Here is a 16284-nt window from a genome sequence, read left to right on the forward strand (position 1 = left end):
AGGATTCCAGCCTGTGGGTTAATTGTCTAGAGCATTCCTCCATCTTCTCAACTTGTTTCCTTCCCCTACTATGGCATGCTTCCTGTAAGGCTTGAACACAGGAATTTATGTGGGTTTAGGGTTATCCTTTGGTGGGAACTGAAGAGTCCCAGCGATAAGAAGGCAGTGTGTTTCTAGGGTCCTTCTCAGCTTTGGGGATGAGCTCAGATCTCCCTTTAGCCTTAGTCCTTTAGTACCTGCTTTGTGCCAGGCCTTGGGTTGTGTGCTGGGGACACAGAGAAAAATAAGATGCATGTCGGATATAGGAAATGTTTTAGGAGGATAAAGGGGAGATGGCTAACTCAGCTTGCTAGCGTGGTGGAGGTGGTATTGGAAACTGTTAAGCGGTGAGGTCTGAGGTTGAGAAGGCAGGGAAGGGCATTCCAGGTGGTGGGAGTAGCATGGCCCAAAGTTTAGAAGGAACTGAAGTGGCTCAGTGTGGGCTGGTGTTGGGGTGGTGAGGAAGGTAGAGGGTTGAGCAGAGGCCAGATCACGAAGGGCCTTGACATTTGAACTGTATCCTGAGCGTGATAGGGAGCCCTGAAAGGTTGTAAAAAAGAAGTGACTTACCTGGTCCGGGCCACCCTCGTGAACTCTAGTCCCACACTTCTGCCAGACCCTGTGTCTGTGTTATTTACTACGTATTCCTAGCCTCCAGTGCAGAGTCTGGCACATGATGCCTTTTCACGTCCTTTCCTTGTCCCTTTCTTCCTATCAGCCACTCTGTCTTGTCCCCGGCCTCCATCTCCTTGCCTTTCCTGTTTTGGATCGTGTGTTCATTCTAAGGTGCCCAGTTGCCAGTCTGCTCTGGGGGGCTGGCCTTTGGGTTGTGGATACCATTTGGCACCCAAATGGCTCATGAGGGGAAAGTACTCCCAAATGTCTAGAGTGCAGGTTCTCATCCTTCCTCTTCCTGTGTCTAAGATTTGAAAAAGTAGGTAAAATAATGAAAGCAACTACGAGGAAAGTGAAGAAGTCGACTGTACAGGAGAAAGGATTCTGTTGAATCCACCGACTAGGACCACACGTGACTCAATATCTCAGCTGAGGTGGTTAGAATCTGCTAATAGTGCAGCTGCTTTTCCTCCTCCTACATTAGTTTATTTATTTTTTGAATAGGCAATCCATGCACCTGGTACAACATTCAAAAGGTACAAAAGATATACAGTGGAAAGTAAGTTTTCCTCTTCCATTCTTCCAGTCTCCAATTCCCCGCCCCAGAGTTAACTAGTAACTAGCTGTTAACTAGTCCCCTATATTACTCTTTTCTTTTTGAAACACCTTCCCTTCTTGGCCTCTGTGACTTTACAGAACTGTCCTGGTTTTCCCACTGCCCACTCCTCTGTCTCCTTTCCTGGCCTCTCCTCTGCTTGATCTCCAGGTTGTAGTGGCCCAATGCTTGGTCCTCGAACAATTCCTTTTTCACTTTTCTATTCTCTTGCTTGGTGTTCCAGCACAATAATTTAAAATACCATCTATATGTTAATGCTTCCACGAGTATTCAGCCAGTCCTAATTTCTTTGAATCTCAGACTATATCCCACTGCTTACTTGACATCTCCAACTGGATGTCTAAGAAATGTCTCATACAGTATTTAGTAAAATCAAATCAAAGTGAAGCTAAAAGTATAAAACTCTTTAATTTCCATTTCACTGCTCCCAGTCCATGCTTCTTTCTCTAGTCATTGTGATCTTCCTCAGGAAATTGTACTGTCATCCACCCATTGCTCAAGCCCCAAATTAAATGCCCCAAATCCTTGATTTTTCTTGTCTCCTTATTCCTCACAAGCAATCGTAAAGAAAAAGTCTTGTTGACGCTACTTCTGAGGCATGCCCTGAAGGCTTCTCCAGCTCTTCATTTCCACTTCTAGCACAGCTTCTCTGCTTTCTCCAGGGCTACCACAGTAGCCTCATAAGTGGTCTTCCTGCTTTCACCCTTGCCCCCTGAAATCTGTCCAGCACTCGTTTGCTTCTACACTGATTGGTGCTTTCTGCCTCTGGGCATGGGCTCAGCTGTGCACTTGCTATTCCCGCAGAGAAGGCTAAGTGTCTTTGGGCATCTTCAGTCTGCAAGCCCCACCCAGAGCCTGGCACTGGCCAGCCCACTCAGGCCTTTCTGAAGAAACCCAGCCCATACATACGAGGACATTGTAGGAATCTATCTACCATGCCTTAGACTCCAGGATCTTTCAGCCTGTAGCCCATCCACATCTCACTTTTGCCTCTCCTAGTTTCTTGAGCTTCCTTGCCTGTGCCCTGGGCCTCCCCGACTGCTGATGTTCTTCTGGCCTCTTGGCTCAGCTGGGACTCTCTCACCTGGTGTCTGCCCTGGCAGCTCTTGAGGACCTGACTTCCGGTGCTCTTTCTCTGGTCCCATCACTGGGTGACGGTTCCCTGCATCTTCCCTGGTCTCCACTGACTAAACACTCCCTCTGCATGAAGAGGGGGGACTGGCTGTGCACGTTACACAGTTGAAGGAAGGAGCACGTCTTAACCAAACAGGTCATGTCCACTGATCTTTCATTGAATCAAACGCAAGTAAAACTCCAAAACGTGGAGCAAAGTGTTCCTTCCCTGGACTGTCTAGCAAGGAAATGGGCCACCACTGGAGCATGAGCCCCCACCCTTGGGACTCATTCACTACAAGATTATTGTGGTGGTGATTCTTGCCATAGGAGGTGGGGTCAGTGCAGTGACTTATGAGAGTCTTTTGGTTCTTCGGGTTTGACACCAAACCTGAGCATCTAGGTTGGTTCAGGAGCTCTCTGAAGGGACCCCCTTTTTGACACCCATTCTTTAACAGCTATTTTAGCACCTAGTGTGTGCCAGGTGGTGTGCTAGACACTGGGGATGCAAAAGGCACAGACCTTCCAGCCTTTTGGAGCTTTGCTGGAAGTCAGTGCCTTGGCTGGCTTGTTCTGAGCCATGGAACTCAGTGGGATGTCAGGGCCTGGAACTTTTGTCCCAGAACAGAGTTTGAAGGTATGTCCTAATTAGGAGCCCCCACCTCCCCTTAACTGTGAGGTCTGTAGGGCTCATATAGCTGCACGTGCTGCAGAAGAGGAACTGCGACAAATGGGACTGAGCTTACTGGAGAGTGATGAGGCTCTGCGAGCCATGGGGTGTCAACAGAGAAGGAGCTGGGGATTTTCTCCAGAAGAGAAGCTGGGGGAGACGTGGTTGATCTCCTTTAGCAGCAGAAGAAACACAGTCTGAGGCTGAGGGACCAGACGGATCAGTGGGTCCCTTGAAGGCAGAGTTGGGGCAGGGGCATCAAAGATGACAGGATTTGGCTTTAGCAAGGTCAGCGCTTCCCCCAGGTGGGATGATCCATTTACTGATTGATTAATTCAGCAAACATTCATCTGTGAGGTATGCACTCTATGTGAGGCCCTGTGTCTGGAGGAACAAACATCAAATAGGACAGGGTTCCTGTTCTCAAGCTGCTTATAGTCTGGAGGTTGCCTGGGAAGTAATGAGTGGCCCTGCACTCATTACCTGTGTAGGGCCGCTCATTACCTGGGTGTAATGAGTGTGAAAGCAGAGGCTGGACAAGCACGTGGGAGCGGGGCAGGGTGAGGACTAAAGGAAATTAAAGGTTGAGATTGGTGGCGGGGAGAGTGAGGGGGCTGGATTGGAGGCCTTGAAAGAGCTTTCCACTCCACCCCACTTTGCCTAAAAGAGCCAGTGTTCTAAGTTCCTGAGCCTGCTCAGGGAATGGGCTGGTTGGAGATCACAGTGCTGCTGGGCTGGCCCAGAATGCTCAGGGGGAGGGGTTAGATTGGGAGAAGGGGCAAGCCAGGCCTGATTGTCAGGAGGGCCTGGGTTTGAATCCCAAAACCTCAGCCAGTGCTGAGGATCCCAGCAGACCTTGCAGACTGAGGTGGGACAGAGATGACCAGAAATGACTGCTCAGGCAGGAAGGACCTGGAATTTAGAGAGACCTGGGTTAGAGGCCTGGGAGTGGTGGCCGGGGCGGGGGTTTCTCCCCAGCCCGCCCAGCAGGTTCTGTTTGCCTTGGTTTAGTCACACCCCTGCTGTCTCTCCCTCTCCTGCCACCCCTGCTTTTGTCCCAGGGTCTCCAGGATGAGTGTCAGTACCTCCTTCAGCCGCAGCTGATTGTCCGGCGTTTGCTGGACGTCGCTGTGCTGGTTCCTGGCCGGCCCTCAGAGCAAACCCTCTCCCCACACAATCGCTCAGCCCTGTACAAGTAAGTCAAAGACTCCCCACACCTGGTCCTTTCCCTCTTCTGTGGCCTCATACAGGCTGCAGGGTTCTCTCTTGGCTTCTCCACCTACCTGCCTGGTCCCTGGGTGGGATCCCTGCCTCCCTCCCTCCCAGCACAGAGCGGGAGACCTGAACAGGCCTCCTTCCCACCCTATGCCCCCTCCTTCCTAGTGCTTCCCTTGCCCTGTGTTCCTCTCGCCTCTGTTTGTGCCTTCTTACCCCCAACCTCTCCTCTGCCCAGGGTCTTTGTGCCCAGCTTCACTTACAGGGTTTCAGCACAGCTGGTGTGTGTGGGGGGCCGTGGGGTATCTGCCTGCCCCCTGTCACTGCGTCTGCGTCCCAAAGCCCCACCCCTGCACAACTCAAGCTCTGTGGCCTGTGGAGGTGCCTCAGGATGCCAGCTGGAGCTGGCACTGCCCCCCTGGGGGCACTGGGTCTACGTGCGTGTGGAAACATCATCCCGGGGCCCTGGTAGGACCATCCGCTTCCAGCTGTGTGTGCGGTTGCAAGGTCAGAACCCCTGCATTTGCCCCAGTCTGTGTAGACATCTGTGGTTGGGAAGTGACTTGGGTGGCTGTGTTCAGTGGCCCTCTGCCATATCCCTACAACCTCCCCTCCCCATCCCAAGCTCCTTCATGCTCCCTGAAGCCATCACACTTGGAGCTCCAAGTTATTGGAAGGCCTTTAGATAATTTTTTTTTTGCATCTGACTTGAGACAACTAAAGGACCTCATTACTTTCTTTGATTTAATCTCTCAGTTTCCTGGGGTAGGCAGGGACATCCAGGACCTCTGGGACACTGTCCTTGCCAAAGCCCTTGCAAGTCAGTGAGACAGCCTCTCATACTTAGTATCTGTTTCAATAGTGTCTTCAATGCCTTTAGGGAGGGATAGATGACCTCAGTTCCCTCCAGTGTGGTATTGCATTAGCTGTCACCATTAGGAAACCCCTATAAACCTGGATGCCCCACACTCCCAAGGGACATCGCATTCTAGTTCTCATCCTTCCCCACTCTTTGCGAAATCCTGTCTAGCTCAGATGTGTTTATGAGTAAGTTCAGGACTGTAAAGGCTGCAGGCCCAAGCTCTGGTTTCCTCTGCCCCACAGAGTGCCCACAGCCCGGCCTGCTCCGAGCCCTGGTCCCTGGAGCTGCCATGAACATGCCCCAGTCCCTGGGCAACCAGCCACTGCCCCCAGAACCGCCATCCCTTGGAACCCCTGCGGAGGGGCCTGGGACCACGTCCCCACCCGAGCACTGCTGGCCAGTGCGCCCGACTCTGCGCAACGAGCTGGACACCTTCTCTGTCCACTTCTACATCTTCTTTGGCCCAAGTGTGGCCCTTCCCCCTGAGCGCCCAGCCGTGTTCGCCATGAGGCTGTTGCCAGTGCTGGACAGTGGAGGCGTCCTCAGCCTGGAGCTCCAGCTCAATGCGGTACTCTTTATGGAGAGTGGGGAGGTTGCTCTGCCAGGGAGCTTGAAGGGGAAGGTGTCAGGGGTGTTGGGGTGTTTACCTCCTCCAGGAAGCCTGTCCAGGTTGCTCCCACCCATCCTGACAATTAGGGACCATGGCTCAGCCCAATTCTGGTCAACAAACATGTCCTGAGTATTCACTCTGCTACAGATGGGCGGGTCAACCAGGTCAACTCAGTGTCTGGGGTTTCCCAGTTTTGTAGGCTCACTTCCTGCTCATTACTGGCCTTTCACTACGGTAGTTGTTAACCTTTTCTTGCAAATCTCCTTTGATGGGGAGTTTACCACCTCTTGAGGCCACACAGTTCATGTTTGGATAGCGCTGATTGCCAAAGGCATTCCTGACATCCCATCAAAATCTGTCTCCATGAATTTTTTACCCACTCATCTTTGATTCAGTGGGTAAAAGCCATATCCAGAAGCCATTTCCAGTAAATCTATCTCTGTCCTGTTCTTTTTTAAAGCAACAGACTTAATTTTTTTTAGAGCAGTTTTAGGTTGAGCAGAAAGCACAAAGTTCTCATATACCCACTCTCTCACGTTTTCCCCTATTATTAATATCTTACATTAGTATGATATATTTATTACATCCCAGTCCTATTTTTACAGCCCTTCAGATGTTACCTGCAACCACCCAAAAGCTGAAGAACCTCAGTGTCTTAGGGGTCTTGGTATTTGGATCTCTCCCCTTCCTTCACTATCTCACCTGGTCATACTTCTAGTGGTCACTGTGTCTCTGAAATAAGTGATCTGAGGTGGTCGGACCGGGGTACCAGGTAACAAGACTTGCATTTGTGCTGCCTGAGATTGAGTTGCCTTTTTCAGCAGCTGCATTACACTGTGGGATCACCTAGGGCTTGTGGTGAACTGAGATCCCTGGGTCTTTTCCCTTTACTTCCTTTGTATTTTCTTCAAACCAGTTGTATACATTTACTTTTTTATTATAAGAGTAATAGGATCACATAAAAACTTTGGAAAATAGGGGAAAATATCTCCCTAATGCAACTGTTTAACCCTTTTTTTTTGAGACGGAGTCTCACTCTGTTGCCCAGGCTGGAGTGTAGGGGTGTGATCTCGGCTCACTGCAACCTCCACTTCGCAGGTTCAAGTGATTCTTGTGCCTCAGCCTCCAGAGTAGCTGGGATTACAGGAGTGCACCACCACACCCAGCTAATTTTTTGTATTTTTAGTAGAGACTGGGTTTCACCATGTTGCCCAGGCTGGTCTCAAACTCCTGGACTCAACTGATCCGCCTGCCTCGGCCGCCCAACATGTTGGGTTTACAAGTGTGAGCCACTGTGCCTGGCCCACAGCTGTTTTTGGTTTATGTCCTCCCATGTCTTTTCCACATTAATTACTTTGTTTATCTAGTTGTAATCAAGGGGCATATACATTTTGGTGCCAATTCGCATCTTGCATTTTTGCAGTGAATTTTTGAACCTGAATGGAAGAATTTATGTCCCTCCTTGAGGTATTGCCTAATACTGGTTTGGAACTCGGGCCTTCTCCACTTTGTGTAATTCACACACTTGCAAAGCCAACTTTTTGTACTTCTTAGTCATTACTGTCAGCGTTAAGACTGAGATGAGGGCGGAGCCCTATGTTGGCCCATTAGAGAATATCTTCAGCTTAGCTGTTCCCTGAGCCAGGGATCCTTTTAACTCTACTATCCTCCAGCCCTGAGAGCAGGGACCGCTTTCCCATCAGCCAACCTGAGGCCTGGTCTGTGGCTTCATGTGGTCTTTTATGGGACACGGCTTAGAACTTTCTAGTCGTCCTGTTAGAGCCATTTATTCAACCTGAAGATATTTCTTATTTACATAATCAAATTCTCTCTTTGTTCTAGCTAAGACTGTATGTATTTTGTGTTTGCTTATTGCCATGCCTCTGGGCAATGACAGTGAGATCTTGATTCGACCTTGAAACCGTAGACCCTGAATTAGAGGACAGCCTTACGCATACTTGTTCTTTCTTCCTCAGTACCCTGAGAATAGAAGCCTAGCCCTCCTGCAGCCCCTCACCCTTTCCCTCTCTGCATTCCCATCCATTCACTTTAATGAGCATCTGTTTACATTCCATCCATCTGCATTCTATGACGCGTGCTAAGCACCTCAGCCTGTTCTGTTTATTCTGAAAGGTATTTCCTCCAAATATTTTGATTTTTTTTTCTCCCCTTGGATCAAGAACTGGACATTTGGATCAGAGAACTGCATATACTTTTTTCTTTGGCTCCCTCCTAGAAAGACTTTCACTGAGTAATACTTTGGCATATTGCCCCGGGCTTGCATTGAAGGAAGTTATATAAGGAAGTTGTATGAAACTCACTCTTGTGGCTGAGGACAGGATGCATGACAACACACAGTGCCGCTTTGATGAGAATTTATCTCAGAACTTCCCCTTTGGATGCTGTGATTCTCCAGAGACTCTGATTAGCTTTTATATTATGTAGTTGCAAATCTGGTAACTCATGATACTTCCTTTGCTTTGGTTGCTTGGAAGGCAGTATCAAATATATGGCCTACCTTAGGGACAGACTTTATTTTCCTGTCCTGATTTTTAAGTTTCCCTCAGGCATTTATTATATTCTATTTTATGTAAGCTGCCTCAAATCCTTCTTGAATGAGGTGAGCTTATGGCATCCTGTTGCCTTTATTCTTGTAGACAACACCTTACATTTACTCTTGCAGATATCTGGTTTCTTTTAATCCCAGCCAGGTTGCTACATTTAATCTCTTGGGCATTCTGTTACCACTGTTCAGTACCTAGGATCATTTCACCTGAGTTGGAGTGAGTGTCTTCATGCTCCACCTGTCTTGGGGTCCAGGTGAAGATGATGGGAAACCTTACAATTGCCTTTGTCCACAATTAGTTTCTATAACTGGCAACAGCCCTCCTTCTCCTTAATGAGCTAGATAGGACTGAAAAAGAGGGTGTTCTCTCTTGCTTGGACAGAATTGAAACACTTCTGCCCAAAGAACAGATTCAAAATTGGGCCTTGCCGTCTCATCAGTCCTTGAAAGATTTCTGCTGTGGAGGATCTGTTGTTTTTCAGTTTTTCTGTTCTGAGAATGGAGGTGAGAGAGCAGCTTTGGCGTGGAGAGCGCCGGGAGGAATGGGCTGTCCTTGGAAGGTGTGGGTTAACAGGGGTGGGAGTCTGAGGGTGGCGGTGGGTGGAGATGGAGGATGTGGCGGCCTCACTTCCATACCTGCCCTCCCCAGAGCTCCGTGCGCCAGGAAAACGTGACGGTGTTTGGATGCTTGACTCACGAGGTGCCCTTGAGCCTGGGGGATGCAGCAGTGACCTGTTCCAAAGGTGAGGTGAGGAATGGGGGAGGAGAGGAAGCTGCAGTGTGGGGGTGGTGGTGGCGGGCAGAGGTGAAGGTGGGGAGGGATGGAATGGAGGAATGATAGGCTAGGGTTCCGGGAAGTGGGAGCAGGTGGGTGAGGGTTCTTGGGTTCTGACCCCTCCTCCCTCTCACTGACTCCTTCCTTCTCCCTTCAGAGTCCCTGGCCGGCTTCCTCCTCTCTGTCAGTGCCACCACCAGGGTTGCCAGGCTGCGAATCCCATTCCCGCAGACGGGGACCTGGTTCCTGGCCCTCCGCTCCCTGTGCGGGGTGGGGCCTCGGTGAGCGGTGCGGGGCGGGGCCAGGGCTGGGACCGGGACTTGGCGGGGGTGGCCCGGGGCCCCAGGTGACTGCGAGTTTGTGCGCAGGTTCGTGCGGTGCCGCAACGCGACGGCCGAGGTGCGGATGCGCACCTTCCTGTCCCCATGCGTGGACGACTGCGGGCCCTACGGCCAGTGCAAGCTGCTGCGCACACACAATTATCTGTACGCAGCCTGCGAGTGCAAGGCCGGTGAGCAGGCTGGCGAGGGAGCGGGCTGCGGTGGACTGGAGGTGGACCTGCTGGGCCTGTGGGCAGGCGGCGGGAGTAGGGGAGTGCGCAGCCTGAATTGGGGACGGGTTTGGCAGAGCCGGGGTGAGACCACCCTCCACAAGCTGTGGCGTAGGCCCATAGCTGCCGTCTGTTCTCTTCCATTCTGTGCCTTCCCCACCCGCAGGGTGGAGAGGCTGGGGCTGCACCGACAGTGCAGATGCGCTCACCTATGGATTCCAGCTGCTGTCCACACTCCTGCTCTGCCTGAGCAACCTCATGTTTCTGCCACCTGTGGTCCTGGCCATTCGGAGTCGATATGTGCTGGAAGCTGCAGTCTACACCTTCACCATGTTCTTCTCCACGGTATGCGGTGGTGTCTGCATCTTATCACTGGGTGCTTGTGCATGGTGGTGGGTCACAGTCTGTATTTCCACCACGTTCTCCGAGGGTTTGGGAATGTCTGTGCCTTCACTGTGTCTTCTACAGACAGAGACAGCAGTGCTTCCCAAACTGTCATGCATAGATAATGGTCATTTTTGTAAGACACATTGGAGTAAATGAACAAAACTGTTTGCAACTTAATAAAGTAAGTTTGGGCCTCCAGCTGTTCCACACTCTGTCCACCCTGAGGGCTGAGGGGACCTTTACTCAAATCATGGGCCAAGAAACTGGCCTAAAGTATGGATTTGTGTCTGCACAGTCACCATGTTCTCTGTATGGGGGCAGGAAATCTATGCTTTCCCCCACACCTCTGCACACAGTGTCTTCATCTTCACCACATTCTTCCATGATATGAGAGCTAGCTAGCTACTCTGAGCTCCCCTTCTCCGTCGCACTGGGGACCTGCACATCGTTAGCACGTTCGTTCCTGTGGTCTGAAATGGCGTTCCCATTCAGTCACCATGCCACCTTGATTTCTCATGAGAACTTTGGAAAGATAGAGGGGATCTCTCTATTGGGGGATTATAGGACAATCTGACTCTCAGAGTCCTGAGAAGCTTTACAGACTCAACTATGTCCTGAGGCATTGTCGGAAGTGGCAGTGTCATATCACATCCCAGCTCAAAGGAGTGCATTTTGATGAAGATTAATATAGTTTAAAACCCCTCCATTCCCATTGCAGAATTGCCACAATCTCTTTCCTGTGTTTTCCTCACTCCTCCATAATCAGAAAAGTTCATTATAAGCAAGCGTCCAGAAACTATAAGGAAAGGTAGAGAAGTGAGCCTGCTAATGTTACTTAACCCCCAAGTAGACTTTTTACCCCTGAAGTGTCACATCTGGGAATCTTTTCAACTCATCTCTAGGCTCTTGGCACCATGTGACATGCATGTGAGCACTGCAAAAACTCTTAGATGGTTTCAGACTGCTCAGGCCTTGTCAGCAAGGATATCACAGAAAGCAAGACAGGCCTTCCTGGCATCCTGCATTACTAGGTCAGACATATGTCTAAATTAGAAAAATCATAGTTCTCATCTGGGAGAAAGCAGGGGCAAATGTGCTGAAACTGAGGGGCCTGGGTCCTCCTGGAGATTCATCCAGAGATGAGGAAGAAGAGTCTGCAACCATGCTGCAGAGAGAGATCTTGGCCCTTTAAGCTGGGTGAGAAGCATATACCCCAGTTTTGCTTGATTGGCCCCTTTTTAGGCCTGCCCCCACAGTGCCTCATTCTATTTTTATGTTAGACACTGTTTCTCTTTCGTATTGCCAGATGCCCTTTCTACTGTGGCTCACCAAATCCTCCAGCAACAGCTGTTCTACCAGCCCACTCTCGGCTACATGCAGATCGAATGTGATTCATAATTAGTAAGAATACCTAAGTGTGTCAGGAGCCTGAAGCATGTAGGGAGAGCATATTCACTCTCTGGACTTGACACAAGTATCCTGATTGGCTCCAGAGTGTTCAGTGCTAGATGACTCTTCCTTATCTGGATACAGTGGCTGTCAGCCTGAAAAGACCTTCCCTGTAGCAGGAGTACTAGGAGAGCCTCAAGTGCCTGGCACCACATAAAAAGCTCCCGGTTTCTTTCTTTGTTTTTTTTCTTTTTTTTTTTTTTTTTGAGACAGAGTCTTGCTGTGTTGCCCAGGCTGGAGTGCAGTGGCGCGATCTTAGCTCACTGCAACCTCCGCCTCCCAGGTTCAAGCGATTCTCCTGCCTCAGCCTCCTGAGTAGCTGGGACTACAGGCGCATGCCACCACACCTAGCTAATTTTTGTATTTTTAGTAGAGACAGGATTTCACCATGTTGGCCAAGTTGGTCTCGATCTCCTGACCTCGTGAACCACCCACCTTGGCCTCCCAAAGTGCTGGGATTACTGGTGTGAGCCACTGCGCCGGGCCAAAATCTCACATTTTCTTAAATAAGGCAATAAGGAAAAGCTACTGGCTTTGAGTTGTTGCCTAAAGTCCTGCTCTCACTCCTGTTCTTTTCCACATGGGCCAGAACATAAAACTATGTTTTCTGTTTTCCCTGCAGGTTCTCTGTGGTCCCTCCTTGCCATTCGTAGACTTATTTCATTCTGCAGCAGTGTCCATTTAAGGACCCATTGGTCAAATTGCAGTTGTCAGTACTAGGACAGGAGATAACAGTCCTCTTCCTTGTCTTCAAATAATCCAGGACAGTCTACACTTGGGAGTAGTAATCCATTCTTATCTGGAACATAGGAGCAGACAGTAGGTTTATAATTCAGGAGTTTACAGATGTAAAATATGTTTTGAAAAAACAAAAACAGGCCACAAACTTAGCATTTGATTTTTGTATATAGGCAAACAATTCAGATAATGATTACAACAAAATGACATACACTGAATATGTGCTGTTTCAGACACTGCTAATTTAATCCTCACAATAGTACTGTTATAGTTGATACATGCTTTTATTCTTGTCATCCTTTTTTTGTAGATAAGGGAAAGTTAAATATTTTGCCTGAGGTAGAAGGTGAGTATCTACCTTAGAATCTGGGTGAGCCTGACTCCAGATCCCTCACATGTAACAGATGATATTGCTCCCTTTGCACCAGGGCAGTGAGCATGCATTGATATGCTTTTAACCCAACTTCAGTTTCTCTTAAGTCCTGGAGTATGTAGAAAAAGGCATGGCCCCAGTTTAGTAGTTCTCACCAAATTCTTAAAAGATAAGAGCCGATCAAGAGATCTGAAAATACAACTAAGCCAAATATAAGAAACCATCAGGACAAAGATATCAAACATTTTAATTGTGCAACTTGAACCCGTACTGTTCAAACTGTGTATCCATCACAGTGCTCCTTGAATCCTTGTAATTAGATCTCAGAAGACCCAGACAGAGCTGGCATTCTGGGGCTGTGCAGGTGTCCTTGCTGATTGCTGGCATCCTGGCTACAAGCCCACCTTCTCATTACGCCTTATATCCCTCAGACCATCCCAGGTCATTCTCACTGTCTCTTGGCAAAATCCCATAACTGTTTCCAAGAGAAAATGAAAGCAGAAAACAGGAAATAAGGGAGTAACAGCAAGTTCCATTATATTCCAATCTGGGCATGGATTAACTACGTTTGCGTTTATAGTCCACATTCTGCAGTGCCTGGATAGCCCATTTTGGAGCATTAGATGCACTGTTACAAAAATGTAAAATTCCACAGAAAAAAAACCTTGCAGGATAATTTCCCTACATTGCTTCATAAATAATGGCCAAAGCTGAGAAAGTTATCAACTTAGATTAGAATTATATTAATAGAAGTCAGTTTGTAGTCTAATTTTTTTTTCTTAAATTCCCTGATTTTTCTATGTCACTTCTACTTCTTTTTATTGCTGTTGACAAAAGGAATGCCAATCTAAAAATTAGTCCACGGTTTTTAGTGGACTAATTCCCTCACACTACAATTTTAATTTAACTCTACCCCTGTGGATTTTTCACAACCTTAAACAATCTCTTTGACCTTTTAGTATACCTGGAAAATAATTAGTCGTAAAATATTAGTGAAATGATTTCTTCAAATCCTCTCCACTCTAGAGATAATATCTCCATTTTTCTTTATTCTTCTTTTAGTGCAAATTCCTAGGAGAAAGTCAGCCCTCAATTATTCCCCTAGATGTGTCTTCAATGTTTAGTGATTCAGCTTTGCCTTTTTTCTGCTGATATATATCTTCCTTTGTCTGAAATATAGTACAAATCTCTCTCCCAGAAACTTCTGGGTATTTCTTTCTATATACTTGAAAGTGAAGCATATGGAGCCAGTGCTTGGTTAAGGCTGGATGTAAAATTAGTTCTTTAAAATAAAATCCAAGTCATAAAACAGTATTGGGTAATTTAGTGGCCTATAGTACTTATGTCTGGTCTTGGAGGCAAAGAATAATCAATTTCCTATAGCTAAAATAGAAAAAGACCAATATATTGATTTGTTTAGGAACTAAATTAACTCCCAATGAATCAGCACATACAAATAGTTGAAAAATAAACCAGTCTCTTAGGTGTATTCAAACATTAATTACTTAACCATTTTTATTTATTTATTTATTTTTGAGGGTCTCGTTCTGTCACCCAGGGCAGAGTGCAGTGGCATGATCACAGCTCAGTGCAGTCTTGACCTGGGCTCAAGCAATCCTCCCACCTCAGCCCCTTCTGCCCCCCACCCCCGCCAATTCCCTGTTCCCCACCAAGTAGCTGGGACTATAGGCACACGCTACCGTGCCCAGCTAATTTTTGTGTGTTTTGTAGAGATGGGGGTTTCACCATGTCGCCCAGGCTGGTCTTTAACTCCTGGGCTCAAGTGATCTGCCCACCTCATCCTCCCAAAGTGCTGGGATTAACAGGCGTGAGCCACTGCACCCAACCTAAAAAAATTCATTCTAATGTTGATATGGACCTACATGAAAAGTCTGAAAATTTCCCATTGAGAACTCACTTTTTCAATTTAACAGTATATTAAGAGGGAACCATGTCCCCAAAATAACAAGCCCTTTCGAAAGCCTGGAACACCCACTTAAAACATGTTCATCCTTAGGCAGTCTCTTTTTGCAGGAGCAAAATTCTTTACCTCCAAAGTGAAGGAAAAGAAAGAAGATAGATACGCAAGCTTGAGTCTTGCAGCTTAAAATTTAAAGGAATCAAACCCAAAGTTTCCTGATGCCAATTTATATCCCAGGTTTTCGTCTTCATTTTGTTTTCTTTTTCTAAGATCCTAGCTTCTTCCTTTCCAAATTTGTCTGTTGAAGTTGTAATTTTTGCAGTTTAAATGATTGGATGACATCTTCAGTAGGGTCAAAGGAAACATTAGCGATTTCTTTTTCATCTTTTGTCTCTAGAGACTGACTTTGGAATATGTTTTCCAGATTTTTTGGTGGCATCTCTGCCACTAAAGAGTTATGCCTAGAAAACTTTTTTCACAAATAAGGGAACACAGGATGCTGGAAGCCATGGCATTGTCCAGAGAGACAATCTGGACATGGGTTGGAACTACAGACAAGGGAGCTAATGGCAGACTTTGCTTGGTTCCTTAATTAGGATGTCCAGTTGAGTCTGATCCGATTCCACTTCTGCTCCCTGCATCCCCTTTGAACCTCCTCAATAGTCCACTCTTCACTATGTTCTCCAGAGTGTAGGATGGGTGGACACTGTCCCCTCTCCATGTTCTTCCCCATGGTGTGAAGTGCCATGCCTCTCTCCATGGCCTTAGGGACTGCCTTTTTTCTTACCTGCCACACACTCCCCGCATTTGTTGGGAAGGGATGAAGAGGGTCAGTTGGTGGAAGCCCTGAGAGTGAAGCCCAGTTCAGAGTCTGAGCTAGCAGGGGAAACTGGGACATAGTGGGGAGATTTGGTTTCTGGGTAGCTTAGAGCTTGGGCCAGGGATGGGGATTATAGGTGGGATCCATGGTGAGCATGAGGAGACAGGGACAGGATTGGCCTCAGCTTGAGGGTATCAGAACCCCCTGGCAGGGCACTCTCCACAGCACCTTCCAGAAGCAGGAAGATTAGGAAGCTCAGGGTCAGGGTCAGGGCTGCCAGATACATATTAGTTATGTAGCAGACTGGACCTCCTTACCACATTCTTCTCAGGATTTGGGGAGTCAGGCATTTCCCAGATCTTCTCATCTGTGACCTTTCACCTCTGCTGCACTGACAGCAGCACACCACCCCTGGGCCCACCCCTCCGGTTTTGTAGATCTGGACCTCTGCCTCAAGTTCTCTCAATGCCTGTCATTTCTTCCTTCAGTTCTATCATGCCTGTGACCAGCCAGGCATCGTGGTTTTCTGCATCATGGACTACGATGTGCTGCAGTTCTGTGATTTCCTGGGCTCCTTAATGTCCGTGTGGGTCACTGTCATTGCCATGGCTCGTTTACAGCCCGTGGTCAAGCAGGTCAGTCCAGAGTGGGCCCTGGGGAACAACCATGGCCAAGTCTCCTTGAAATCCACTCCTGACCTCTCCCTGGGGGCATTTCCAAGTGCCTCTCATGATTCTGACCCAGGCCCTGGAGTGCTGTCTGTCACCTGGCCCTAGCCCAGCCCTTGAGTCTCTTTCTCTAGGTGCTGTATTTGCTGGGAGCTATGCTGCTGTCCATGGCTCTGCAGCTTGACCGACATGGACTCTGGAACCTGCTTGGACCCAGTCTCTTCGCCCTGGGGATCTTGGCCACAGCCTGGGTAAGGGTGGGGAGGGATGTGGGGGGAGGGTCCCAGCAGGACTTGG

General features: G+C 48.3%; 1 protein-coding gene across 25 annotated transcripts in view, besides 6 other annotated features; it reads left to right on the forward strand.

The window, feature by feature from the left end:
- The window catches only part of TMEM8B (transmembrane protein 8B), a 36288-nt gene that overhangs the window by 7792 nt on the left and 12212 nt on the right, over positions 1 to 16284 (forward strand). For 8 of the 25 annotated variants that reach the window (XM_011517902.3, XM_011517901.3, XM_011517903.3 and 5 more), the window contains 10 exons: positions 4115 to 4248; positions 4507 to 4775; positions 5373 to 5698; positions 8789 to 8866; positions 8956 to 9049; positions 9239 to 9362; positions 9450 to 9592; positions 9798 to 9976; positions 15808 to 15954; positions 16122 to 16238. In XM_011517902.3, coding sequence (XP_011516204.2) covers positions 4115 to 4248; positions 4507 to 4775; positions 5373 to 5698; positions 8789 to 8866; positions 8956 to 9049; positions 9239 to 9362; positions 9450 to 9592; positions 9798 to 9976; positions 15808 to 15954; positions 16122 to 16238 — 1611 coding nt within the window. The other 17 variants (NM_001042590.4, NM_001042589.3, XM_047423472.1 and 14 more) reach the window with 8 other exon arrangements.
- Positions 3118 to 3307: an enhancer, noted in NCBI's record as "active region_28340". NCBI's record gives its function as "activates an Ori minimal core promoter by ATAC-STARR-seq in GM12878 lymphoblastoid cells {active_cell/tissue: GM12878}" and the evidence as "EXISTENCE:reporter gene assay evidence [ECO:0000049][PMID:35858748]".
- Positions 7593 to 7887: a silencer, noted in NCBI's record as "tiled region #825; HepG2 Repressive non-DNase unmatched - State 24:Quies, and K562 Repressive non-DNase unmatched - State 22:ReprW". NCBI's record gives its function as "represses a minimal TATA promoter and a strong SV40 promoter by Sharpr-MPRA in HepG2 and K562 cells {active_cell/tissue: HepG2 | K562}" and the evidence as "EXISTENCE:reporter gene assay evidence [ECO:0000049][PMID:27701403]".
- Positions 9357 to 10232: an enhancer, noted in NCBI's record as "H3K4me1 hESC enhancer chr9:35846373-35847248 (GRCh37/hg19 assembly coordinates)". NCBI's record gives its function as "activates a minimal SCP1, AML or CMV promoter by ChIP-STARR-seq in naive H9 embryonic stem cells {active_cell/tissue: H9 hESC(naive)}" and the evidence as "EXISTENCE:reporter gene assay evidence [ECO:0000049][PMID:30033119]".
- Positions 11026 to 11165: an enhancer, noted in NCBI's record as "active region_28341". NCBI's record gives its function as "activates an Ori minimal core promoter by ATAC-STARR-seq in GM12878 lymphoblastoid cells {active_cell/tissue: GM12878}" and the evidence as "EXISTENCE:reporter gene assay evidence [ECO:0000049][PMID:35858748]".
- Positions 11356 to 11425: an enhancer, noted in NCBI's record as "active region_28342". NCBI's record gives its function as "activates an Ori minimal core promoter by ATAC-STARR-seq in GM12878 lymphoblastoid cells {active_cell/tissue: GM12878}" and the evidence as "EXISTENCE:reporter gene assay evidence [ECO:0000049][PMID:35858748]".
- Positions 11456 to 11575: an enhancer, noted in NCBI's record as "active region_28343". NCBI's record gives its function as "activates an Ori minimal core promoter by ATAC-STARR-seq in GM12878 lymphoblastoid cells {active_cell/tissue: GM12878}" and the evidence as "EXISTENCE:reporter gene assay evidence [ECO:0000049][PMID:35858748]".

Source organism: Homo sapiens, chromosome 9 (assembly GCF_000001405.40).
Source record: "Homo sapiens chromosome 9, GRCh38.p14 Primary Assembly".
Taxonomy (NCBI): Eukaryota; Metazoa; Chordata; class Mammalia; order Primates; family Hominidae; genus Homo; species Homo sapiens.